Source organism: Homo sapiens, chromosome 22 (genome assembly GCF_000001405.40).
Source record: "Homo sapiens chromosome 22, GRCh38.p14 Primary Assembly".
Classification (NCBI taxonomy): Eukaryota; Metazoa; Chordata; class Mammalia; order Primates; family Hominidae; genus Homo; species Homo sapiens.
This window is the reverse complement of record NC_000022.11, coordinates 19,299,392-19,326,024: the sequence shown is the minus strand read 5'-3', so window position 1 is coordinate 19,326,024 and position 26,633 is coordinate 19,299,392. Positions and strand designations below refer to the sequence as shown.

The 26,633-nt window shown below is 41.0% G+C and overlaps 1 long non-coding RNA gene across 3 annotated transcripts in view; it reads right to left on the bottom strand.

The window, feature by feature from the left end:
• LOC105372859 (uncharacterized) overlaps nt 1–26,633 on the bottom strand; it is a 59,606-nt gene that overhangs the window by 25,528 nt on the left and 7,445 nt on the right. The window lies entirely within an intron of this gene.

Here is a 26,633-nt window from a genome sequence, read left to right as displayed (position 1 = left end):
GTGTATGAGATTTCCAATTTTTCCACATCTTTGCCAACATTTCCTATTACCAAGTATGTATGTATGTATATTTATACTTTTTTATGGAGACGGGGGTCTCGCTGTTGCCCAGGCTGATCTTGAACTCCTGGGCTCAAGCAGTCCTCCTGCTTTGGCCAACCAAAGTGCTGGGATTACAGGTGTGAGCCACCACATTCAGCCTATCAGGTTGTTTTAAGTAAAGGCATCCTAGTGGGTATAACATGATATCTCAGAGTGGTTTTGATTTGTATTTCCCTAGTGACTGATATGTTGCTCAACCTCTCATGTGCATATTAGTCACTTGTGTGTCTTATTTTTCAGATCCTTTGCCAACTTTTCAATTGGATTGTCTTTATCATTGAGTTTGTGAGAGTTTTTATCTATTCTGCATAAAAAATATTCCTTATCAGCTGGGTGCCATGGCTCGTGCCTGTAATCCCAACACTTTGGGAGGCTGTGGCAGGTGGATCACTTGAGCCCAGGAGTTTGAGACCAGCCTGGACAACATAGTGGGACCCCATCTCTACAAAAAATAAAAGAATTAGCCAGAATCGTGGTACACACCTGTGGTTTCAGCTACTAGGGAGGCTAAGCTGGGGGGATCACTTGAGCCCCGGAAGTTGAGTCTGCAGTGAACTGTGATGGCACCACTGTACTCCATCCTGGGTGACAGACTAAGGCCCTATCTCAAATGTTTTCTTTTGTTGCTCACACTGTTGATCTCATATTTAAGAAACCACTACCACATCCAAGTTCATACACATTCACCCTTATGTTTCTATTAAGAGTTTCATAATGTTAGCTTTTACATTGAATACTCTGATCCATTTTGAGTAAAGTTTTGTATATTATGTGAAGAGTTCAATGTCATTATTTTGCGTGTGTCCATCCAGATGTCCCAGCATCATTTGTTGAAAGACTATTTTTACCCCATTGAATGGTCTTGGCACCCTTGTTGAAAATCAGGAGACCAGAGACACTTGGGTCGTTTCTGGACTCTCAGTTGTATTGTGTTGAAATATGTCTATGCTACACTGTCTTGATTACTGTTGCTTTATAGAAAGTTTTGAAATAAGGAAGTGTGAGTCCTCCAATGTAATTGTTCTTTTCAAGGTTGTTTTTGCTATTCTGGGGCCCCTGAGTCTCCTTATAAATTTTAGGGTCAATTTGTCAATTTCTAGAAAGAAATCAGCTGCAGTTCTAGGGGTTGTGATGATCTATAGATTAATCTGAGGAGATTGCTATCTTAACAGTATCAGGTCTTCCAATCAATGAACATAAACATCTATCCATTTAGTTAGGTTTTCTTTCATTTCTTCCAACAATGTTTTGAAGTTTCCAGAATATAAGTTTTATAGTTCTTTTGTAAAATTCATTCCCAAGTATTTTATTCTTTTTGATGCTATTGTAAGTGGAGCTGTTTGGTTTTTTCAAAAGATGGAATCTTGCTATGTTGTCCAGGCTCGTCTAGAACTCCTGAGCTCCAGCAATCCTCCTACCTCAGCCTCCCAAGTAGCTGGGACTACCAAGTCCACATATCACACCTGGCTAAGGAAGTGTTTTTAAAATTTCACTTCCATTTCATTACAAGTGTATAAAAATACATTGATTTTTGTATATTGATCTTATATCCTGCAATCTTGCTGAACTCATTTATTAGTTCTAATAGTTTTTTTTGGACTCTTTAGAATTTTCTTTACATAAGATCATGTCATCTGTGAATAGAGATAGTATTACTTCTTTTCCTACCTGGATGCCTTTTTTTTTTCTTGCCTAATTGCTGTGGCCAAACCCTTTAGTACAATGTTGAATAGAAGTGCCAAGAGTGGGCATCCTTGTCTTAATACTGATTTCAGGAGGAAAGCATCCAGTCTTTCACCATTAAGTATTATATTTAATTGTGTGCTTTTCACAGATGTCCTTTATTAGGTTGAAGAAGTTCCCTTCTAATTCTACTTAATTGATTTTTTTTTTGAGATGTTGTCTTGCTCTGTCACTCAGGCTGGAGTACAGTGATGCTATCTCAGCTCACTGCATCCTCTGCCTCCTGGGTTCAAGCAATTCTCCTGTCTCAGCCTCCCAAGTAGCTGGAACTACAGGTACTCACCACCATGCCCGGCTGAATTTTGTATTTATTTTAGTAGAGACGGGGTTTCACCATGTTGACCAGGCTGGTCTCAAACTCCTGACCTCAGGTGATCCACCCGCCTCAGCCTCCCAAAGTGTTGGGAATACAGGCATGAGCCACCGTGGCTGGCTGATTTTTTTTTTTAAAGACAGGGTCTTGCTCTGTCACCTGGGCTGGAGTGCAATGGTGCAACCATGGCTCAGTTGCCGCCTCGACCTCCTGGGCTCAAATGATCCTCCTGCTCAGCCTCTCAAGCAGCAGAGACTACAGGCTTGTGCCACCACGCCAAGCTAATGTGATTTTTTTTGTAGAGGTGAGGTCTCACCATGTTGCCCAGGCTGGTCTCGAACTCCTGGGCTCAAGTGATCCTCCTGCCACAGCCTCCCAAAGGGCTGGGGTTACAGGTGTGACCACTGCACCCAGCCTAATTGACTTTTTATGCTGAACCATCTGTTCCTTCCTGAGATAAATCCCACTTGGCTATGGTATACAATACTTTTACATGTCATTGTATTTTTCAGGGTTTTCGTGGGTCCACATTTATAAAATATATTGTCTAAAGAGTTCTTTTCTTGTTAGGTCTTTGGTTTTGGTGTCAGGGTGATGTTGCCTTATAGAATCCGTGAATGAGTTGGGAAGTATTCCCTCCTTTTCTATTTTTCTTTGAGGAGTTTGTGAAGAATTGGTATTTAAAAAAAATATTTGGTGGAATTCAATAGTAAAGCCATTTGGGCCCGCAGTTTTTTTGGGTAGTTTTTTTTTATTACTAAAGCAATCTCATTATTTGTTATTATAGGCATATTTGGATTGTCTGTTTCTTCTGAGTCAGTTATGGAAGCTTGTGTCTGTCTAGAAATTTGTTCATTCATTTCTTTCCGTCTGTCTGTCTGTCTTTCTTTCTTTCTTTCTTTTTAAACAGAGTTTCATTCTTCTTGCCTAGGCTGGAGTACAGTGGTGTGATCTTGGCTCACTACAACCTCTGCCTCCCAGGTTCAAGTGATTCTCCTGCCTCAGCCTCTCAAGTAGCTAGGATTACAGGCGCCTGCCACCACGACTGGCTAATTTTTTGTTTTTTTTTTTTAGTAGACACGGAGTTTCATCATGTTGGCCAGGCTGGTCTCGAACTCCTGACCTCAGGTAATCCATCTGCCTCGGCCTCCCAAAGTGCTAGGATTATAGGCGTGAGCCACCACACCCGGCCTTGTTCATTTCATCTAAGCTACAATTGTTTATAGTATTTCTTCTTTTTTTTTTAAACCCTCATTCTCTATATATAATAGTATTTCTTTAATTTTTAATTAAAAAGTTTTTTTATAAAATTTCTTTTGAGATGGAGTCTCACTCTGTCACCCAGGCTGGAGTGCAGTGGTGCAATCTTGGCTCACTGCAAGCTCTGCCTCCTGGGTTCACGCCATTCTCCTGCCTCAGCCTCCTGAGTAGCTGGTACTACAGGTGCCCGCCACCATGCCCGGCTAATTTTTTGTATTTTTAGTAGAGATGGAGTTTCACCGTGTTAGCCAGGATGGTCTCGATCTCCTGACCTCGTGATCCACCCGCCTCGGCCTCCCAAAGTGCTGGGATTACAGACGTGAGCCACTGCACCCGGCCCACAAAGTATTTTCTAATTTCCCTCTTGATTTCTTCTTTGACCCATTGGTCATTTAGAGTGTGCTGTTAAATTTCCACACCTTTGTGGGTTTCCCAACTTCTCGACTTTCTTTCTGTTATTGATCTAATAGTATTCCGTTGTGTTTTTAAAAATACTTTGTATTATTTCTATCCTTTACATTTACTAAGGTTTGATTTACAACCTAGCATATGCTGTACCCTGGAGAATGTTCCTTGTCTACTTGAGAAGATGTGTATTCTACCTAAGTGGGGTTGTGTTGCTCACGTATGGCCACACCACTTCCCTTTCACCATTCCACTTTCTTAACCCATGCTAACCACCAATCTGTTTTCCATTTCTGTAATTTCCTGATTTCAACAATGTTATGTCAATGTCATGCTTACCTAACCTACTGGATTTTTTTTTCACTCAGAATAATTATCTGGAGTTAATTTAAGTTGTTGTGTATATTATTACTTCATTAGTTTTTATTTATTGCTAATGAGTATTTCATGGTTTTGCTGCACTGTTGATTTAACCATTCATCTGCTCAGGACATCAGGGCTAGTTTCAATTTTTGGTGATTACAGTTAAGCCCTGATATTAAATTTTTTGTGTGAACATAAGCATTTGATTTTGTGGAAGCAATTCCCAAGAGGGCAACTACTGGGTCTTATGGTAGCTGCAAGTGCAGTTTTTTTCAAGATGACAAAGTATTTTCCACAAAGCTGTACCATTTTACATTCCAACAATGGATGAGTGATCAAGTTTTTCCACATGCTCACCAGCATTTGTTGTCACTATTAATTTTAGCCATGTTGACAGGTGTAACTTTAGTTTGCATTTCCGTAATACCTAATGATGTTCAACATCTTTTCATGTGCTTATTTGCAATTCATAAATCTTCAGTGAAATATAGTAATTTTCATGTCTTTTCCCCTTTTTTTGAGACAGTCTTACTCTGTCACCCAGGCTGGAGTGCAGTGGTGTGACCACAGCTCACTGCAGCCTTACCCTCCAAGCTCAAGTGATCCTCCCAGCTCAGCCTCGTAAGTACTGGGACTACAGGCAGGCACAACCATGCCAGGCCAATTTAAATTTTTTTTTGTAGATGGGATCTCACTACACTGCCTAGGCTGGTCTCGAACCCCTGAGCTGAAATGATCCTCCTGCCTTGGCCTCCCCAAATGTTGGGATTACAGGTATGAGCCACCATGCCCAGCCTGTTATGTCTTCTCGAAGAATGGATCCCTTTGTCATAGGGATCATGCCCCCTTTGAGCATAGAGTACTTCATAATATTCCTTTACTATCTCACTTTCCACTGTGATGTAATGTGTTGCGGGAAGTCAGGGACCCTGAACGGAGGGACCGGCTAAAGCCATGGCAGAAGAACATAAATTGTGAAGATTTCATGGACATTTATTGGTTCCCCAAATTAATACTTTTGTAATTTCTTACACCTGTCTTTACTGCAGTCTCTGAACATAAATTATGAAGATTTCATGGACACTTATCACTTCCCCAGTCAATACCCTTGTGATTTCCTATGCCTGTCTTTACTTTAATCTCTTAATCCCATCATCTTTGTAAGCTGAGGATGAATGTCGCCTCAGGACCCTGTGATGATTGCGTTTTCTGCACAAATTGTTTAAACAATGTGAAATCTGGGCACCTTGAAAAAAGAACAGGATAACAGCAATGTTCAGGGAACAAGGGAGATAAGCTTAAAGTCTGGCTGCCTGTGGGCCGGGTGGAACTGAGCCATATTTCTCTTCTTTCAAAAGCAAATAGGAGAAATATCACTGAATTCTTTTTCCCAGCAAGGAGCATCCCTGAGAAAGAGAATGTATCCCTAAGGGGAGGCCTCTGAAATGGCCGCTTTGGGGACGTCTGTCTTTTATGGGCATAGATAAGGGATGAAATAAGCCCCGGTCTCCCGTAGCGCTCCCAGGCTTATTAGGATGAGGAAATTCCCGCCTAATAAATTTTGGTCAGACCAGTTGTCTTTTCTCAAACCCTGTCTCCTGATAAATGTTATCAATGACAATGCATGCCCAAAACTTCATTAGCAATTTTAATTTCGCATTGGTCCTGTGATCTCACCCTGCCTCCATTTGCCTTGTGATATTTTATTACCTTGTGAAGCACGTGATCTCTGTGACCCACACCCTATTCATACACTCCCTCCCCTTTGAAAATCACTAATAAAAACTTGCTGGTTTTGCGGCTTGGGGGGCATCACAGAACCTGCCGACATGTGATGTCTCCCCCAGACACCCAGCTTTAAAATTTCTCTTTTGTACTCTTTCCCTTTATTTCTCAGACCAGCCAACACTTAGGGAAAATAGAAAAGGACCCAGGTGAAATATCGGGGGCTGAATTTTACCCGATAGTAATGCCCCTTTTATCCATGATAAAAATATTAGCAAATCAAATCCAACATTGTATGAAAAAAATACAACATGACCAAATGGGATGTATTCCAGATATGCATACTTGTTTAATGGTTGAATATAAGTTATTGTAATCAATCACATCAATTAAGTTAAAAAAGAAAATCATGATTATATCAATACATTTAGAAGAAGCATTTGACAAATCTAACACCTATTCATGATAAAAACTCTCAGCAAACTAGGAATAGAAGGGAACTTTCTCAATTGATGAAGAACATCTACAATAATTCCACTATGTATGTATGTATGGCTAACATCATACACTACTTAATGGTGAAAAATTATATGCTTTTCCCCTAATATCAGGGAAAAGGCAAGGATGTCTCTTGTCACCACTCCTATTCAATATTGTACTAGAAGTCTTAGCTAATACAATAAGACAAAAGAAGGAAATAAAAGTATAAAAATTAGGAAGAAGGAAATAAAGTATAAAAAATTGCAGATAACATGACTATCTATGTACAAAATCCCAAAGAATCAACAAAAAACTCTGAGAACTAGTAAGTTATTATAGTTACATTGCAGGATATAAGGTTAACATACAAAAGTTGATTGCTTTTCTTTAACCAACACTGAACAATTGGAATTTGAAATTGAAAATTTAATACCTCTTACATAAACACCAAATAATCAAAATACTTAGGTATAAATCTAACAAAATACATACAAGCTTTATATGAGGGAAACTACAAAACTCTGATGAAATAAATAAAAAATCTAAATTAATAAATGGAGATAAGTTCCATGTTCATGGGTAGGAAGACTCAACATTAATGTGTTAGCGCTTACCAATTATAGATTCAATTTAATTCCAATAACGATTCCAGCAAGTTATTTTGCAGATATTGACAAGCAAATTCTAAAGTTTGTATGGAAAGTCAAAAGATGCAGAATAGCCCACTCAATATTGAAGACAAGCAGGGCCAGAGTACTCACACTACTCAACTTTGAGACTTACTATGAAGCTACAGTAATCAAGACAGTGTGACATTGGTAAAGGAACGGAGTAGAGAACCCATAAATAAACCCAAACAAATGAAATCAACTGATCTTTGATGAAGGAACAAAGGCAATTCAATAGAAAAATATTAGTCTTTTCAATAAATACTGCTCTAATAAATGCACCTGTAGTCCCTTCTACTCAGGAAGTTTTGCATTTTACACATGCAAACATAAAAAAAAGAATCTAGACAGAAATTTTTAACTGCTGCTCTGAGAACATCATTGCTAAGAGAATGAAAACCCACAGACTTGGAGAAAATATTTGCAAATAACTTTTCTGATAAAGGATTTGTATCCAATATATACGAATAACTCCCAAAATGCAAAAATAAGAAAATAAGCATTCCAGTTTAAAAATGGACAAAATATCTGAACGGAGCTCACCAAAGAAGATATACATATGGCTATAACCATATGAAAAGACGCTCTACATCATATGTCATTAGGGAATTACAAATTCAGAACACAATGAGAATTAGCTGGGCATGGTGGCATATGCCTGTAGTCCAGCTACTTAGGAGGCAGAAACAGGAGGACCTCTTGAACCCAGCAGTTTGAGGCTGCAGTGAGCCATGATCATACCACTGTACTCCAGCCTGGGCAAGAGAGTAAGAACCCATCTCTAAAATAAATACATAAATAAATAAATAACAAAAACAACAATGAGAAACCACTATACACCTATTAGATAGGCTAAAATCCAAAAACCTGACAGTATCAAATGCTGACAAGGATGTGGACATAGAAAAACAGGAATTCTCATTCATTGCTCTTGAGAATACAGCCACTTTGGAAGATGATCTAGTAGTGCCTTCCAAGCTAAACATAGCCTAACCATATGGCCCAGCAATTTCACTCCTAGGTATATACCAAAATTAGTTGAAAACTTATATACACATAAAAACCTACACATGAATGTTTATAGCAGCTTTATTCAAAACTGCAAAAACTGGAAGAAATCAAGATATCCCCTCAATTGGTGAATGAACAAACTGACACATTCATACATTGGAATATTATTCAATGATAAGAAATGAGCCGGCTGGGGGCAGTGGCTCAGGCCGGGCACGGTGGCTCATGCCTGTAATCCCAGCACTGTGGGAGGTCAAGACAGGCAGATCACCTGAGGTCAGGAATTCAAGACCAGCCTGGCCAACATGGTGAAACCCCTTCTCTACTAAAAATACAAAAATCAGCTGGGTGTGGTGGTGCGTGCCTGTAATCCCAGCTACTTGCGAGGCTGAGGTAAGAGAATTGCCTGAACCCAGGAGGTTGAGGTTGCAGTGAGCTGAGATCGTGCCACTACACTCCAGCCTGGGCGACAGACCGAGACTCCATCTCAAAGAAAAATAAAAAAGAAAAGAAAAGAAATGAGCTACCAAGCCATGAAAAGACATGGAAGACCTTAGATGGATATTGCTAAGTGAAAGAAGCCAATTTGAAAAGGCTACATACTGTATGATTCCAACTAAGTGACAATTTGTTGTTTTTTGTTTTTTTTTTTTGAGACAGGGTCTCACTCTGTCACCCAGACTGGAGTGCAGTGGCATGATCTCTGCTTATCGCAACCTCCACCTCCCAGGCTCAAGCAATTCTCCTGCCTCAGCCTCCTGAATAGCTGGGATTACAGATGCATACCACCACACCTGGCTAATTTTTGTATTTTTAGTAGAGACGGGGTTTCACCGTGTTGGCCAGGATGGTCTCGAACTCCTGACCTCAAATGATCCACCCGCCTCAGCCTCCCAAAATGCTGTAATTACAGGCATGAGCCACCACGCCCCACCTAAGTGACATTCTATAAAAGGTAAAACTACAAAGACAGTGAAAGATCCAGTGGAACTGTTGTGGGAATCAGGAGACTGGAGAGACCAATAGGTAGAACAGGGGGATGTTATTGAGTGCACTCTGGCCTAGTGGATTAACATCCAAAGACCGGGCCTAGAACAAAGACAGAACTTGACTTTTATACACACTTCTGAAAAGGGGTTGGCTAGTTTGAAACAAGGTTACAGTGATGCGAAGTGTAGTGGTGTGAAAGCAAGTGTATAGAAGCAGAACAAAGGCAGTTAATCAAACTATGACAGTTAGATTATGCCTGCTCAGGCATGTCTCATGACCTTTGCTGTGCTGCTCGGATAAAAAACAGAATACTTGAGGTTACTAGTTACAGAAAACAGGAATCTGGCCAGGCGCAGTGGCTCACGCCTGTAATCCCAGCACCTTGGGAGGCTGAGGCAGGTGGATCACAAGGTCACGAGATCGAGACCATCCTGGCTAACAAGGTGAAACCCCGTCTCTACTAAAAATACAAAAAATTAGCCAGGCATGGTGGCGGGCGCCTATAGTCCCAGCTAGTCAGGAGGCTGAGGCAGGAGAATGGCGTGAACTCAGGAGGCGGAGCTTGCAGTGAGCTGAGATTGCACCACTGCACTCCAGCCTGGGTGACAGAGCGAGACTTCATCTCAAAAAAAAAGAAAAAGAAAACAAAAGAAAAGAAAACGGGAATCTATAAAGTCATAAATGTACTCATACCATAGGGGAAAGGAAAATAAGGAAAATTTGTTTTTCTTCTCCTTATGTGGAGGGAGTGCTGGGAGAGTCTCCAGAGCACATTCCTTTGAGCCCTGGCTTCTTAGATAATGTTATCGAGACTTTGCCTGGGTCTGGGCTTTGCCTGTTACTGACTTTGGGATGAGCCAGCCTAATACAGAAAGCTTGTTTTTTTGAACATATTTTTCTCTTTTTAATTTTATTTTTCTTTCTTTCTTTAATTCCCACCTCAGAACTGTTTCAAAACTTTTTAGCTATTCTAGGGCTTGTATGTTTCCAAACAAATTTTAGTATAAGTTTGTCTGCATCTACAACAACAACAACAAAGTTGCTTGGATTTTGATAGTAATTGTGTTAAAACTGTGTACCATTTGGGGAAAACGGGTGTCCTTACAATTGAGTCTTCTAGTCCATGAACATGCTATGCCTTTCCATTTATTTAGATCTTGTTTGATTTCTTTCATCAGCATTGTCTAGTTTTCATCATGTAAGTTCCGCACCTGTATTGGCAGATTCACACCAAAGTATTTTTGTGGAGCAATTATAAATAGTATTATATTTTAATTTCAGTGCCCACGTGTTCCTTGCTAGTATATAGAAATACAATTAATTTTGATATGTTGATATATCCTGCAACCTTGCTAAATTCACTTATTAGTTTTTTAGGAGTTTTTTGTTTGTTTTTGTTGTTTTATTCCTTTGGGCTTTCCATATAGTTAAATCACGTCATCTCAAAATAGGGACAAATTTTTCTTCTTTTCTGATTAGTATGCCTTTTAATTATTATTATTATTATTTTTTTTGAGACAGAGTCTTGCTCTTGTTGCCCAGGCTGGAGTGCAATGGCATAATCTCAGCTCACTGCAACTTCCGCCTCCCAGGTTCAAGCGATTCTCCTGCCTCAGCCTCCCAAGTAGCTGGGATTACAGGCACCTGCCACCATGCCCAGCTAATTTTGGTATGTTTAGTATAGACAGGATTTTGCCATGTTGGCCAGGCTGGTCTTGAACTCCTGACCTTGTGATCCGCCAGCCTCAGCCTCCCAAGGTGCTGGGATTACAGGCATGAGCCACCGTGCCTAGACTCTTTTTTAAACTTAATTATTTTTAATTTTTATGAGGACATAGAAGGTGTATATATTTATGGGGTCCATATATTTATGTTGATACAGGCATTCAATGTGTAATAATCACATCAGAGTAAATGGGATATCCATCATCACCTCAAGCATTTATCATTTCTATGTGTTACAAATATTTCAGTTATACTCTTTTTTTTTTTAATTCTTTTGAGATGAAGTCTCGCTCTGTCACCCAGGCTGGAGTGCAGTGGCACAATCTTGGCTCACTGCAAGCTCCACCTCCCAGGTTCATGCCATTCTCCTGCCTCAGCCTCCCAAGTAGCTGGGACTACAGGCACCCACCACCATGCCCAGCTAATTTTTTTTGCATCTTTAGTAGAGATGGGGTTTCACCCTGTCAGCCAAGATGGTCTCAATCTCCTGACCTTGTGATCCGCCCACCTTGGCCTCCCAAAGTGCTGGGATTACAGGCGTGAGCCACCGCGCCTGGCCTCTTTTAGTTATTTTTAAATGTACAATAAACTATTATTGATTGTAGTTACCCTGTTGCATTATCAAATACTAGATCTTATTCATTCTAACTAAATTTGTACCCATTAACCATTCCCACTCCCCCCAACCCCAATGCTACTACTCTTCCCAGCCTCTGGTAACCACCATTCTATTCTCCATGAGTTCAATTATTTAAAGTTTTAGCTCCTGCAAATGAGTGAGAGCATTTGAAGTTTGTCTTTCTATGCCTGCCCTATTTCATTTAACGTAATGTTCTCCAATTTCATCTATGTTGTTGCAAGTGACTGGATCTCATTCTTTTTCATGGCTGAAAAGTACTTCATCATGTATATATAACACATTTTCTTTATCCATTTGTCTGCTGATACACAGGTTGATTCCAAATCTTGGCTATTGTACCTTTGATTTCTTTTTCCTTATTGAAATAGAAATCTGTATCCCCAGATGGTTTCACTGGATAATTCTATCAAATGCTTAGATAATTAACACCAATTCTATATAATCTCTTCCAGAAAACAGAAAGCAAATCACTTCCAAATTTATTTTAAAGTTAAGAAAAAATAGTACATGCTGGGCCTGGTGGCTCACACCTGTAATCCCAGCAGTTTGGGAGGCTGACGTGGGCAGATCACTTGAGCTGAGGAATTTGAGACCAGCGTGGGCAACATGGTGAAACAATGTCTGTACAAAAAACAAAAATTATCCAGGCATGGTGGCATGCACCTGTAGTCCCAGCTACTTGGGAGGTTAATGTGGGAAGATTGCTTAGACCTGGGAGACAGAGGCTTCGGTGAGCTGAGATCACACCACTGCTCTCCAGACTGGGTGACAGAGTGAGACTCTGTCTAGAACTTGCAGTGTTTTGTTGAATAGTAGTAATGAGTGCCTTGTTGTTGATCTTAGAGAAAAAGCATTCAGTCTTTATTGAATATGATAGCCACATGATTTTTCTTTAAATATTTTTTATTCAGTTGAAGAAATTCCTCTCTAAGTTTTCTGGTGGTTTTTATCATGAATGGGTGTTGGACTTTGTCAAATGCCTTTTCTGCAGAATTCAATTGATAATCTCATGTGATTTTTCTTACTTAGCTTGTTAATATGGTGGATCACATTGATTGGTATTTGAACATTGAACCAGCCTTACATTTCTGGGATAAACTCCACTTGGTAATGGTGTATAATTATTTTTATATATCGCTGAATTCCATTTATGATATCTTGTTAAGAATTTTTGCACATATATTCATGACTCATGTTGGTCTATAGTTTTCTTTCTTTGTATTGTTTTCCTTTTCCTTTTTCTTCTTCTTTTTTTTTTTTTTTTTTAAGACAGAGTCTCACTCTGTCACCCAGTCTGGAGAGCAGTGGTGTGATCTCAGCTCACTGAAACCTCTGTCTCCCAGGTCTAAGCAATCTTCCCACATTAACCTCCCAAGTAGCTGGGACTACAGGTGCATGCCACCATGCCTGGATAATTTTTGTTTTTTGTACAGACATTGTTTCACCATGTTGCCCACACTGGTCTCAAATTCCTCAGCTCAAGTGATCTGCCCACGTCAGCCTCCCAAACTGCTGGGATTACAGGTGTGAGCCACCAGGCCCAGCATGTACTATTTTTTCTTAACTTTAAAATAAATTTGGAAGTGATTTGCTTTCCGTTTTCTGGAAGAGATTATATAGAATTGGTGTTAATTATCTAAGCATTTGATAGAATTATCCAGTGAAACCATCTGGGGATGTGGATTTCTATTTCAAAAATTATTTAACTACAAATTCAATGTCTTTAATAGTTATATGATTAATTGGATTATCTATTTCATTATAGATGGGTAGTGGGAGTTTGTTTTGTCTTGCTTTGCCTTGAGGAATTTGTCCATTTCATCTCACTTGTCAAATTATGTTTGTACAGGTGTTTGTAGTATTTCCTTATCTTTTTGATGTCTGCACGCTCTGTACTGATAACTCCTATTAATTTTTTCTTCACTCTTTTTCCCTTTGTCAGTCATGCTAGAAGCTTGTCGATTTTATTGATCTTTTAGAACTAGCTTTTAGTTTAATTTTCTAAATCTTTTCTGCTTTCAATTTTCTTTCTTTTTTTTTTTTTTTTTTTTTTGAGATGGAGTCTCACTCTGTCCTCCAGGCTGGAGTACAGTGGCATGATCTCTGCTCACTGCAACCTCTGCCTCCCGGGTTCAAGTCATTCTCCTGCCTCAGCCTCCCAAGTAGCTGGGACTACAGGCACACACCACCATGGCCGGCTAATTTTTGTATTTTTAGTAGAAACAGGCTTTGACCATGTTGGCCAGGCTGTTCTCGAACTCCTGACCTCAAGTGATCCATCCACCTCAGCCCCCCAAAGTGCAGGGATTACAGTCATGAGCCACTGCACTCGGCCTCTATTTTCATTGATTTATGTTCTGATATTTATTTCCATCTTTCAGCTTGCTTTGAAACAGAATTGCTAAGTAAGAAGGTTAACTTTTTTTTTTTTTTTGAGACAGAGGAGTCTCGCTGTGTCATCCAGGCTGGAGTGCAGTGACACCATCTCAGCTCACTGCAAGCTCCGCCTTCCCGGTTCACGCCATTCTCCTGCCTCAGCCTCCCGAGTAGCTGGGACTACATGTGCCCGCCACCACACCCGGCACGTTAGCCAGGATGGTCTGGATCTCCTGACCTCGTGATCAGCTCTCTCAGCCTCCCAAAGTGCTGGGATTACAGGCATGAAGCCACTGTGCCCGGCCTTTTTTTTTTTTTTTTTTTTTTGAGACAGAGTCTCACTCTGTCACCCAGGCTGGAGTTTAGTGGCGTGATCTCGGTTCACTGCAACCTCTGCCTTCCAGTTCAAACAGTTCTCCTGCCTCAGCCTCCCAAGTAGCTGGGACTACAGTTGCATGCCACCACACCCAGCTAACTTTAGTATTTTTAGTAGAAACGGGGTTTTATCATGTTGACCAGGCTGGTTTTGAACTCCTGACCTCAAGTGATCCAGAAATTGAGATATTCCCAGATAACTAAAATCTGAGTGAATTTATTAACACCAGAGCTGTCCTGCAAGAAATGACAGAGGAAGTCCATACAGAAATGAAGGAATACTACACAGCAACTCAAAGCTGTATAAAGAAATAAACAGGGAAGACATGGTGGCTCATGCCTGTAATCCCAGCACTTTGAGTGGCCTAGGTGAGTGGACTGCTTGAGCTCAGGAGATTGAGACCAGCCTGAGCACCATGGCAAAACCTTGTCTCTACAAAATATACAAAAAAAATGAGCTGGGTGTGGTTCCCATGCACCTGTAGTCCCAGCTACTCAAGAGGCTGAGGTGGGAGGATCGGATCACTTGAACCTGGGAGGTTGAGGCTGCAGTGAGCTATGATGGTGCCACTGTACTCTGGCCTGGGTGACAGAGCGAGAACCTGTCTCAAAAATAAATAAATAAATAAATAAATAAAAAGTAAAAAGAAATAAATATCTGTGGTAAAGGTAAATACATGGGTAATTATTATAATTATGGTTAATAACTCCACTTTTTATTTTCTACATGATTTCTGAGACAAATGCATAAATACAATTATTAGTCAATGTTACTGAGCACACAATATATAAAGATGTAATTTGTAACATCAATAAAAGAAAGTAGGAGGAATGAGCTGTATAGAAGCAGAGTTTTTTTGTTTTGTTTTGTTTTTTGTTTTTTGCTTTTTGAGACGGAGTCTTGCCCTGTCTCCCAGGCTGGAGTGCAGTGGCACAATCTCCGCTCACTGCAACCTCCGTCTCCCGGGTTCAAGCTGTTCTCCTGCCTCAGTCTCCCGAGTAGCTGGGACTACAGGCGTGTGTCACCATGCCCAGCAAATTTTTGTATGTTTTAGTAGAGACAGGGTTTCACCATGTTGGCCAGGATGGTCTCAATCTCTTGACCTCAGGATCCACCCGCCTCGGCCTCCCAAAGTGCTGGGATTACAGGCGTGAGCCACCACGCCCTGTCAGAAGCAGAGTTTTATACAGTATTGAAGTTAAAATTGTATTCAAATTTAGGATGTTAAAATAAATTCCCATGGTTATCTCAAAAAATCTATAAATTGTAGACAAAAGGAAATGAAGGCCAGACACAGTCGTTCATGCCTGTAATCTCAACACTTTGGGAGACTGAAACAGGCAGATTCCTTGAGCCCAGGAGTCTGAGAACAGCCTGGGCAACAACGTGAAACCCTGTTTCTACAAGAAGTACAAAAATTAATCAGGTGTAGTGGTGCATGTCTATAGTCCTAGCTACTCAGGAGGCTGAGGTAGGAGGATCACCTCAAGGAGACTGAGGAAGACTGAGGCTGCAGTGAGCCATGATCATGCCATTGCACTCCAGCCTGGGTGACAGAAACTGTCTCAAAAAAAAAACAAAAAAAAGCCTGGGCGTCGTGGCTCACGCCTGTAATCCCAGCACTTTGGTAGGCCGAGGCAGGTGGATTGCCTGAGCTCAGGCGTTCAAGACCAGCCTGGACAACACAGCAAAACCTGGTCTCTACTAAAATACAAAAAATTAGCCAGGCATGGCGGTGGGCACCTGTAGTCCCAGCTACTCAGGAGGCTGAGGCAGGAGAATCGCTTGAACCCTGGAGGTGGAAGTTGCAGTGAGCCAAGAGCACATCACTGCACTCCAGCCTGGGCGACAGTACAAGACTCCGTCTCCAAAAAAAGGTGGGGAAAAAGAAGCCAGCACAGTGGCTCACGCCTGCAATCCCAGCACTTTGGGAGGCCAAGGCAGGCAGATCACTTGAGGCCAGGAGTTTGAGACCAGCCTGGCCAACATGGCGAAACCCTGTCTCTACTAAAAAATATATAAATTAGCCGGGTGTGGTGGCACACGCCTGTAATCCCAGCTACTCAGGGGGCTGAGGCATGAGAATCACTTGAACCTGGGAGGTGGAGGTTGCAATAAGCCAAGATTGTGCCATTGCACTCCAGACTGGACTACAGAGTGAGACTCTGTCTCAAAAAAGCAAAAAAAGGAAATGAGAAGGGAATCAAAATGGTTCACTATTTAAAATAAACTAAACAAAGAAGATAGTAATGAAGGAAATGAGGTACAAAAAAAAAAAAAAACAACAACTGTAGGGCATATAGAAAACAAATAGCAAAATACCAAGAATTAAAATTCCCAGTTAAATGAGAGATTAGCAGAAGAATCGAAACACATGATTTTTATTTTATTTATTTATTTATTTATTTTTTGAGACAGAGTCTAGCTCTGTTGCCCAGGCTGGCTGGCAGTGGCATGATTTCCACTCACTGCAAACTCTGCCTTCCAGATTCAAGCGATTCTCATGCCTCAGCCTCCTGAGTAGCTCAGACTGAAGGTGCGTGTCACCACGCCCAGCTAATGTTTATATTTTTAGTACCAATGTGCTTTTGCCATGTTGGCCACGCTGGTCTCAAACTCTTGGCCTCAAGTGATCCACCCGCCTAGGCCTCCCAAAGTGCTGGGATTACAGGCGTGAGCCAACATGCCTGGCTAGAAACACATGATTTAAATACAGGCTGCCTATAAGAGATGTTCACTTTCCATTAAAGATGCAAATAGGTTAAAAGTAAAAGGATTGAAAAAGATATCCTATACAAATATTAAATACAGGACAGCTGGACTGGCTATGCTAATATCAGATATAATAAACTTTAAATTAAAAAGATTACAAAAGATAAGAATATTATATATTAACAAACGGTTCAATATATCAATAAGATATAAGAATCATATAGATTTACACACCTAATAGCAAACCCTCAATATATATGAAGCAAAAATGGACAGAAATGAAGGGAAAAAGATAGTTCTGCAATAATTGTTAGAGACTTCAATCGCCAACTTTCTTTTTTTTTTTTTTTTTTTTTGAGACAGAGTCTCACTCTGCTGCCCAGGCTGGAGTGCAGTGGCACGATCTCAGCTCACTTCAAGCTCCGCCTCTCGGGTTCATGCCATTCTCCTGCCTCAGCCTCCCCAGTAGCTGGGACTACAGGCACACACCACCATGCCTGGCTAATTTTTTGTATTTTTAGTAGAGATGGGGTTTCACCATGTTAGCTAGGATGGTCTCGATCTTCTGGCCTCGTGATCCACCCGCTTTCACCTCCCAAAGTGCTAGGATTACAGGCGTGAGCCACCACGCCCGGCCTTCAACTGCCAAATTTCAATGATAGGTATAGAGCAATCAGATGAGACGGTAACTAAAGAAACAGAGGACTTAACACAATAAACCCCAATTAAACCTAACAGGCGTAAACAGATTACTTCACCCAAAACATGACATTAACAGAATGAATGGGAAAAACTACATGATTATCTCAATGATGCAGAAAAAGCATTTGATAAAATTCAACAGTCTTTTATGATAAAACACTCAACAAACTAGTAATAGAAGAAAATTGCCTCAACACAATAATGGCAAGCTTTTCCACTAAAATCAGGAAGAAGACAAGGATGCCTACTCTTGCCACTTCTATTCTACATAGGAAGGAATCTCTAGCCACAGCAGTTAGACAAGAAAAAGAAATATAAGGCATGCAAATTGGAAAGGAAAAAAGATGATCTGTGTTCACAGATGACACAATCTTAAATCAAGGATTACACACACGCACATACACACACACACACACATGCATACACAGTGGTTACAACTAAGAAGTGAATCCAGCAAAGTAGCAGGATACCAAATCAATAAACAGGCATGAACAACCATGTCTGGCTCGTTGGGTCATTTCTTATGGTTAACTGTTCCATGAAGATATTTTCTAGTCTCTCTTATTAAAATACTTTTGAGGCTGAGTGTGGTGGCTCATGGCTGTAATCACAGCGCATTGGGAGGCTGTGGCAGGTAGATGGCTTGAGCCCAGGAGCTCGAAACCAGCCTGGGCAACATGGCAAAACCCTGTCTCTACAAAAAATTAAAAAATTAGTCAGGTGTAGTGGTGCATGCTTATTGTCTCTGCTACTTGGGAGGCCGAGGTGAGATGATCACCTGAACCTGGGAAGTTGAGGCTGCAGTTAGCCATGATCATGCAACTACACTCCGGCCTGGGCAATGTGAGTGAGATTCTGTCTTTAAAAAATCACGTTTTAGTAAATACAGATGTATATATTTGTAAGTATGTATTTTGTAAATATAAATATATCACAAGGAAACCTATACACATGTTGTAGCAGTGTTGGGTTTTTTTGAGAGAGAGTCTCACTCTGTTGCCCAGGATGGAGTGCAGTGGTGCGATCTCAGCTCACTGCAACATCCGCCTTCCAGGTTCAAGCGATTCTTGTGCCTCAACCTTCTGAGTAGCTGGGACTACAGGCGTGCACTACCATGGCTGGCTAATCTTCTTCTTGTATTTTTAGTCAAGACAGGGTTTCACCCTGTTGGCTATGCTCGTCTTGAACTTCTGACCTCAGGTGATCCGCCTGCCTTGGCCTCCCAAAGTGCTGGAATTACAGGTGTGAGCCACCACACCAGGCCAATATACATGTTGTAGCAGTTTTTAAAATATTTCCACAAATACTTTGATATTTATGATGGTTATGTGTCAACTTGCTTGACTGGGTCACACAGTGCCCAGATATTTGATTAAACGTTATTCTGGCTGTGTATGTAAGGGCATTTCTAGATGAGATTAACGTGAGGAGTGGGGTGCTGCTTGTAAGAAATACCTAAAAAATGTGGAAATGACAGGGCGCAGTGGCTCATGCTTGTAATCCCAGCACTTTGGGAGACCAAGGCGGGTGGATCACCTGAGGTCAGGAGTTCGAGATCAGCCTGGCCAACATGATGAAAACCCTGTCTCTGCTAAAAATACAGAAAAATTAGCCAGGTGTGGTGGCTGAGGCAGGAGAATTGCTTGACCTGAGAGGTGGAGGTTGCAGTGAGCCAAGACTGCGCCACTGCACTCCAGCCTGGGCAACAAGAGCAAAACTCCATTCACTGGGAGGCTGAGGAATGAGAATTGCTGAAGCCCAGGAGGAAGAGGTCGTAGTGAGCCGAGATCACATCACTGCACTCCAGCCTGGGCAAGAAGAGTGAAACTCTGTCTCAAAAAAAATAATAATAACAACTAAAATTCAGCAGAAAGTACGGGCAACTTGTTTGGCCCATACCATACCTCATCTTTTGGGGAATCTATTCCCCCCCTTTTGTTTCCCAATCTTTTTGTTCTGATTTTAGGGCTCTGAATTGAGCTAATTTTATGTCAAATTCAGGTCCTTCCTTAAAAGTTAACACAGGTTGGTTCTCTTGTTTAGATGTGTTTAGAGCAGCTCTATTTGCTACTTATCAGCTAGCTGATATCCTCTGCTTTCTGGAGTATCTGATTTGGAATGACCCAAAATTTTAATAATGGCCAGGGATTTTTTCTAGTAGTCATGAAATAAGAAGTTTGTTTTTTATGGATTGGCCTTAAGAGGTTACGAACACTCTTTGCTTCTATAACATTTCCAAATCATGGGCTACTCCAAAAGTATGTCTACTGTCTGTATAAATATTAGCACATATTCTTTTTGCCAATTGACAGGCCTATTCAATGCTATTAATTCCTTTTATTGAGCTGAGATGGCTTTCAGAAAATAGGCACTTTCTATTTCCTCACTTAAAGACATTATAGTGCAACCTGCTTGGTAGATTCAAGATTCATCCTTCAAGTAACATCCATCTGTGAACCAAATAGCATCAGTATTCATAAAGGGAGTCTCTTGGAGGTCTGACCTAGAAGAAAAATGTTGATCACTTAGAGCTATGCAGTTGTGTGGCATTTCATGTAAAAATGAAGGCAAAAGAATGCAGGGCTTACATCGTTACACTAGAGATGATGATATGAGAAGCTAAAATAAGCAACATCTCATATGAAGCCAGTCTACTAACTGAATAATGTTAAGTATGGCGTGAGTATAGCAATACCTCCACAGAATAAGGGATGAAGATAGTAAGGGGTGTTCCCATGACAATTTCTTCAGTTGCCCTAATGAACAAATGGTGGCTGTTATGGCTCTCATACAAGGTGGGAGTCCTTTTGCTACAGTGTCTAATTGTTGGCTCTAATACCCTATAGGTCTATTTTGAACTCTTTTTTTGGGTTAGGACCCCTAAAGTGTTGTTTCCACCACTTTCATACACAAATAATGAAATGTTATAATTTGGATGCCCCAAAGCTGGAGTGTTAGCAAGGTCATTTTTGATCATTTCTCCTTTCTTTTCTTTTCTTTTTTTTTTTTTTTTTTTGAGACAGAGTCTCACTGTGTTGCCCAGGCTGGAGTACAGTGGTATGATCTTGGCTCACTACAACCTCCATCTTTGAGGTTCAAGTGATTCTTGTGCCTCAGCCTCCTAAGTAGTTGGGACTACAGGAGTGTGCCACCACACCCCACTAATTTTTGTACTTTTTAGTAGAGACAGGGTTTCATCACATTGGCCAGACTGGTCTCAAACTCCTGACCTCAAGCAATCTGCCCACCTCGGCCTCCCAAAGTGCTGGGATTACAGGAGTGAACAACCACGCCCAACCTATTTTTGATCATTTCTAATATTAGTTGAATTTCTTCTGTCCAATCTAGAGAGTCTGGCATGTCTTATCTTAAGAGAGCATGTAAGGGCAGAGCTTTTAAAGAAAAGTTTAGAGTATAATTTCTACAAAATTCTGCTAGTCCCTAAAACATTAACTGTTTCTTGGTTCTCAGTGTCAGAACAGCTACAATTGCATTCAATCTATCGGGATTAATAGAAAGTCATTCCTTGGATATTAGGTGGCCTAAGTAGTTGTTTTGGTTTTTTTGTTTTGTTTTTACAAAATTGAAGTTTTTCTTTAGACACTTTATGATCCATTAGGGCCAATTGTAACAGGTGTATTCCATCTACTGTGGAAGCCTATTTGTTATCTAAGCAAAGACGTAAATCATCTATGTATTGTATTCAGACAGGCTTCTCAGCCAGGCATGGTGGCTCATGCCTGTAAGTCCAACACTTTGACTTTGGGAGGCCAAGGCGGGAGGATGACTCAGGATCAGTCAGGAGTTTGAGACCAGCCTGGGCAACATAGTAAGAGCGCATCTCTACAAAAAGTTAAAAAAAGTAGCCGTGCATGGGGGTGCATGCCTCTGGCCCCAGCTACTTGGGAGCCTGAGTGGGAGGATCACTTGAGCCCAGGAGGCCGAAGCTACAGTGATACGTAATAGCGCCACTGCACTCCAGTCTAGGCGACAGAGTGAGACCCTGTCTCCAAAAAAAAAAAAAAAAAAAAAAAGCTGTGGTATGCTTATAATCCTATGCCTATAATCCCAGAATTTTGGGAGGCCAAGGCAGGCAGATTACTTGAACCCAGGAGTTTTCTTGAGACCAGTCTGGGCAACAAGGCAAACCCTGTCTCTACAAAAAAAAAAAAAAAAAAAAAAAAAGGACAACCAGAAATTAGCCAGGCATGGTGGCTTGTATTGTGTAGTCCCAGGTACTCTGGAGGCTGAGGTGGGAGGATCACTTGAGCCTGGGAGTTCAAGGCTACAGTGAGCTATGATTGTGACACTGCAATCCAGCCTGGGCAACAGAGCAAGACTGTCTCAAAAAAAAAAATAGACAGGCTTCTCAATGAAGTTATCATCTGAGAGGTCTTTTATTAATGTTTGTGAAAAGTAAGTGAGGCTTTCAGTGTATCCTGGAGCATGAATGTCCAAGTATATTGTCTGTCTTCCCAAGTAAAGGCAAAGAGAAATTGGCCAGTTTTATCTATAGGAATGCTAAAGAATGCACTGCATAAATCTATGACTGTAAAAAGTTCTGCATTCATGGTGGCTCACACCTGTAATCCCAGCAATTTAGGAGGCCAAGGCAGGCAGATCACGAGGTCAAGAGATCAAGACCATCCTGGCCAACATGCTGAAACCATCCCTACTAAAAATACAAAAATTAGCTGGGCATGATGGCGCATGTCTGTAGTCCCAGCTACTCAGGAGGCTGAGGCAGGAGAATCACTTGAACCCAAGAAGCAGAGGTTGCAGTGAGCCGAGATCACACCACTGCACTCCAGCCTGGCAACAAAGCGAGACTCCGATACACGCACACACAAAATAATAAATTCTGCATTCAATGGAATAGATATGAGCAATGTGTGAGGATTAGGCACTACCGGATGCTGTGGAATTATGTCGTTTATTGCTATCAAATTCTGTACAAGTCTCCATCCTCTACCATTTGGTTTTCTTAACGGGGAATTGGTGTATTATGAGGGCTTGTATAGAGAATGATCAGTCCTTTTTTTTCTTTCTTTCTTTTTCTTTCTTTTTTCTTTTTTTTTTAGGTGGAGTCTCACTCTGTCACTAGGCTGGAGTGCAGTGGCGCAATCTTGGCTCACTGCAATCTCTGCATCCCGGGTTCAAGTGATTCTCCTGCCTTAGCCTCCCAAGTAGCTGGGACTACAGGTGTATGCCACCACACCTGGCTAATTTTTTTTTTTTTTGTATTTTTAGTAGAGATGGGGTTTTGCCACATTGGCCAGGCTGGTCTCAAACTCCTGACCTCAGACTAACTGCCTGCCTCAGCCTCCCAAAGTGCTGGGATTACAGGTGTGAGCCACCGTGCCCAGCCTGATCAGTCCTCTTTTTATATAATCTGAAATCATAGGTTTTACCCCTCCTAAGGTTATCGTGGGATAGTATCTGATATTTGGAAGGGGTTTTGATGAATATTATGAGATGTTATTGAAGTAGCTGAAACAATAGTTTCTGTATCAGTGAAGGACTTTGACCACAATCAATCAAGTACTACCTTTAGTAGGTTTTCTAATTCTTCATTGCTTAATAATTCAGTGTCCTCAATGGTGAGATGGATAGTAACTGGATTAAATTTTTAAAAATTTTTTGCTTGTGTCTGTTAATTCTGTTGTGTCATCCATACCATCTAATTCTAAATATATTTCCCACTTCTGGGAGAAAGAAATATAGGCATTATATAGTTTTAAGAAGTCTCTTCCTATCAGATGGATGGGGGCTGATGGAACCAAAAGGAAAACATGATTCCCTTGTAAGATACCTAGTTGAGAAGTTGCAGGGTGAGACTTGTGTGCTGATATGGAAGTATTTGTGACACCTACCATTTAGACCGAGTGTTTACCCTCAGAAATGTTTACCCCGACTTTGTGATAAGGTTAGATTTATTACAGATAATGTTGCTCAGTATCAACAAGGACTTGGTATTGTTCTTTACTTAAAATAATTTCTATTGAGGCCGGGCATGGTGGCTCACACCTGTAATCACAGCACTTTGAGAGGCTAAGGCAAACCGATCATGAGGCCATGAGTTTGAGATCAGCCTGACCAACATGGTGAAAACCCACCTCTACGAAAAATACAAAAATTAGCTGGACATGGTGGCACATGCTTGTAATCCCAGCTACTCAGGAGGCTGAGTCAGTAGAATTGCTTGAACCCAGGAAGTGGAGGTTGCAGTAGCCCGAGATTACACCACTGCACTCCCTGGGAGACAGAGCGAAGACTCCTCTCAAATAAATAAATAAATAAATAAATTCTATTTTTCCCAGAATATTAGTAAGCAGAAAAGGAAAGCTCCCTTTAAATTTCTTGGAGCACCTCTATTCCGTATTTTCCTCCTTCATCTGTTGTCATTCCTTCTGTTTTAGTTTTCAGTAATCTTTTTTGGAAAGTGGCCAGTTTTATTGTAGTTATTACAGATTGAAGGATTAGACCTGTTCAAAGGTTTATTGGGGTATTTTGACTGTCTACACTTGGTGGATACTTGTTTTAGTTGCAAATTCATAACTTTACTCACTTTATTCTTTGGTATGGCCTCTTTATCTTTTTCTTCTTTAAAGTACACAACGACCCGTCAGCAAGATTAATCAAATCATGGGTTTGAGAAGTGGCCCAACTAAGGCACTGTCTCTTTACTATTAGAGTGAATTCTTTATCTAGAACATTCATAAAGTTGGAGTTGAGGAAAGTATCTTTTCTTTTTCTTTTTTTGAGATAGAGTCTCCCTCTGTCGCCTAGGGTGGAGGCAATGGCGCAACTTGGCTCACTGCAACCTCCACCTCCTGGGTTCAAGTGATTCTTCTGCCTCAGCCTCCCAAGTAGCTGGGATTACAGGTGCATGCCACCACGCCTGGCTAATTTTTGTATTTTTAGTAGAGACGAGGTTTTACCATATTGGTCAGGCTGGTCTCGAACTCCTGACCTCAGGTGATCCACCCACCTCGGCCTCCCAAAGTGCTGGCATTACAGGTGTGAGCCACGGCACCCAGCCCAGGAAAGTATCATTTTTATGATTAGCATCACTCACCTCACATAAGCCTGAATATTGTCTAAAAGTCTTTTTACATCTTTCAAAGTATAACATAACTGACTCTGGATTTTGTATATATGGTTATATTTTATGCCAGTTGACTACCTTTTGTTTGTTTGGTTTTTTTTTTTGAGATGGAGTCTTGCTCTGTCGCCCAGGCTGGAGTGCAGTGGTGCGATCTCGGCTCACTGCAAGCTCCTCCTCCGATGTTCACGCCATTCTCCTGCCTCAGCCTCCCGAGTAGCTGGGACTACAGGCGCCTGCCACCACGTCCAGCTAATTTTTTTTTTTTTTTTTTTGTATTTTTTTAGTAGAGATGGGGGTTTCACCGTGTTAGCCAGGATGGTCTTGATCTCCTGACCTTGTGATCCGCCTGCCTCGGCCTCCCAAAGTGCTGGGATTACAGGCGTGAGCCACCGTGCCCAGCCTTTAGGCAATCTTTTATTTTCCTCCTGCAGTGAAGTAACTTTATCAGAACCTCTTCTGGATGCTTCTAAATACCTCTAAAAATAAATCTCCCAATTATTCTATTTTATCCTAGAACCCGATTTTTCTTTTTCTTTTTTATTTTCTTTTTTTTGAGACGGAGTTTCGCTGTTGTTGCCCAGGCTGGAGTGCAATGACGCCTAATCTCAGCTCACCGCAAGCTCCGCCTCCTGGGTTCAAGCGATTCTCCTGCCTCAGCCTCCTGAGTAGCTGGGAATAAAGGCATGTGCCACCGCACCCGGCTAATTTTTTTTTATTTTTAGTAGAGATGGGGTTTCTGCATGTTGGTTATGCTGGTCCCGAACTCCTGACCTCAGGTGATCCGCCCGCCTCGGCCTCCCAAAGTGCTGGGATTACAGGCGTGAGCCACGGTGCCCGGCCAGAACCGGATTTTTCTAATTGAGCACACAAATAATTTAGTTTAGGCATTTCAAAGTACCCTACTTTGGCCATTGCAATTTTGGTTCTTCGTGAGTTCTTCAAGAGACAATTTTTCTAAATAATGACAAGAAGTAAAACCGTAAGTACTGTACAGGTATCCAGCTGGAGTCTCTAAAGATGGACCTCTCCACAAGGAGGACTCTATTTTAGATAGCTGATCGCCTATAATTTGTATTCTCCTCTTAAGTGAAAGGGAAAGATGTTTTGGATCAAATGTATTATTTATGGGAATAGCTCCCCCGTGTGTTACCCTTGGATCAGTTCTTTCCTCTTATGTGTCTCAGTGAAACCCAGAAATTCTGGGAGCTTAAGGCACTGGGACATCAGTACCTTATATATATTTACTGAATTTAAGCAAATTTCCCTGTATGTTCTTCTTTGGGGATCCCCTGTGTGACCATTTCTCATCACAAGTGATAATCTCTGGCACTCCTACAAGACCTCAGTCACCTAAGGTGCCTTTTGGTCAGGATGAACAGTGTACGTTGCCTTCAGGACTTATCACATTCTCATAAAGATTTTTTTTTAATTAATTATTTTTTTTTTATTTTTATTTATTTTATTTTTTTGCAGAGACAGGGTCTCACTATGTTGCCCATGCTGGTCTCGAACTCCTGGTCTCAAGTGATCCTCCAGCGTCGGCCTCCCAAAGTGCTAAGATTACAGGAGTGAGCCACTGTGCCCAGCCAATAAAGGTCTTTTATAAATTTTTGGTCACTCAAAAAAAGAATTTAAATGTGCCAAATTGAACTGAGCTTCAAAACCTGGCTAGTTTAAGGTCACAATTTTGCTTAAGCCACAGAAATTCATATCTTATTAAAGGGAAACTGCTTTTCCTTTAACCAGATTTTGCATGAGAGAAAAGGTTGCAAACTTTAGCAAGTAAGGCAAACAAAACCTTAACCTTAAAAAAGAATGAAACCGTAAACCTGCAAACAACAGAATCTCTCGAGAGATAAGAAATGAAACTCCTACCTTAAAGATTTAAAGTAGAACTTTAATTCCAGCCCCATTGAGTATGGAATCAGGTCATT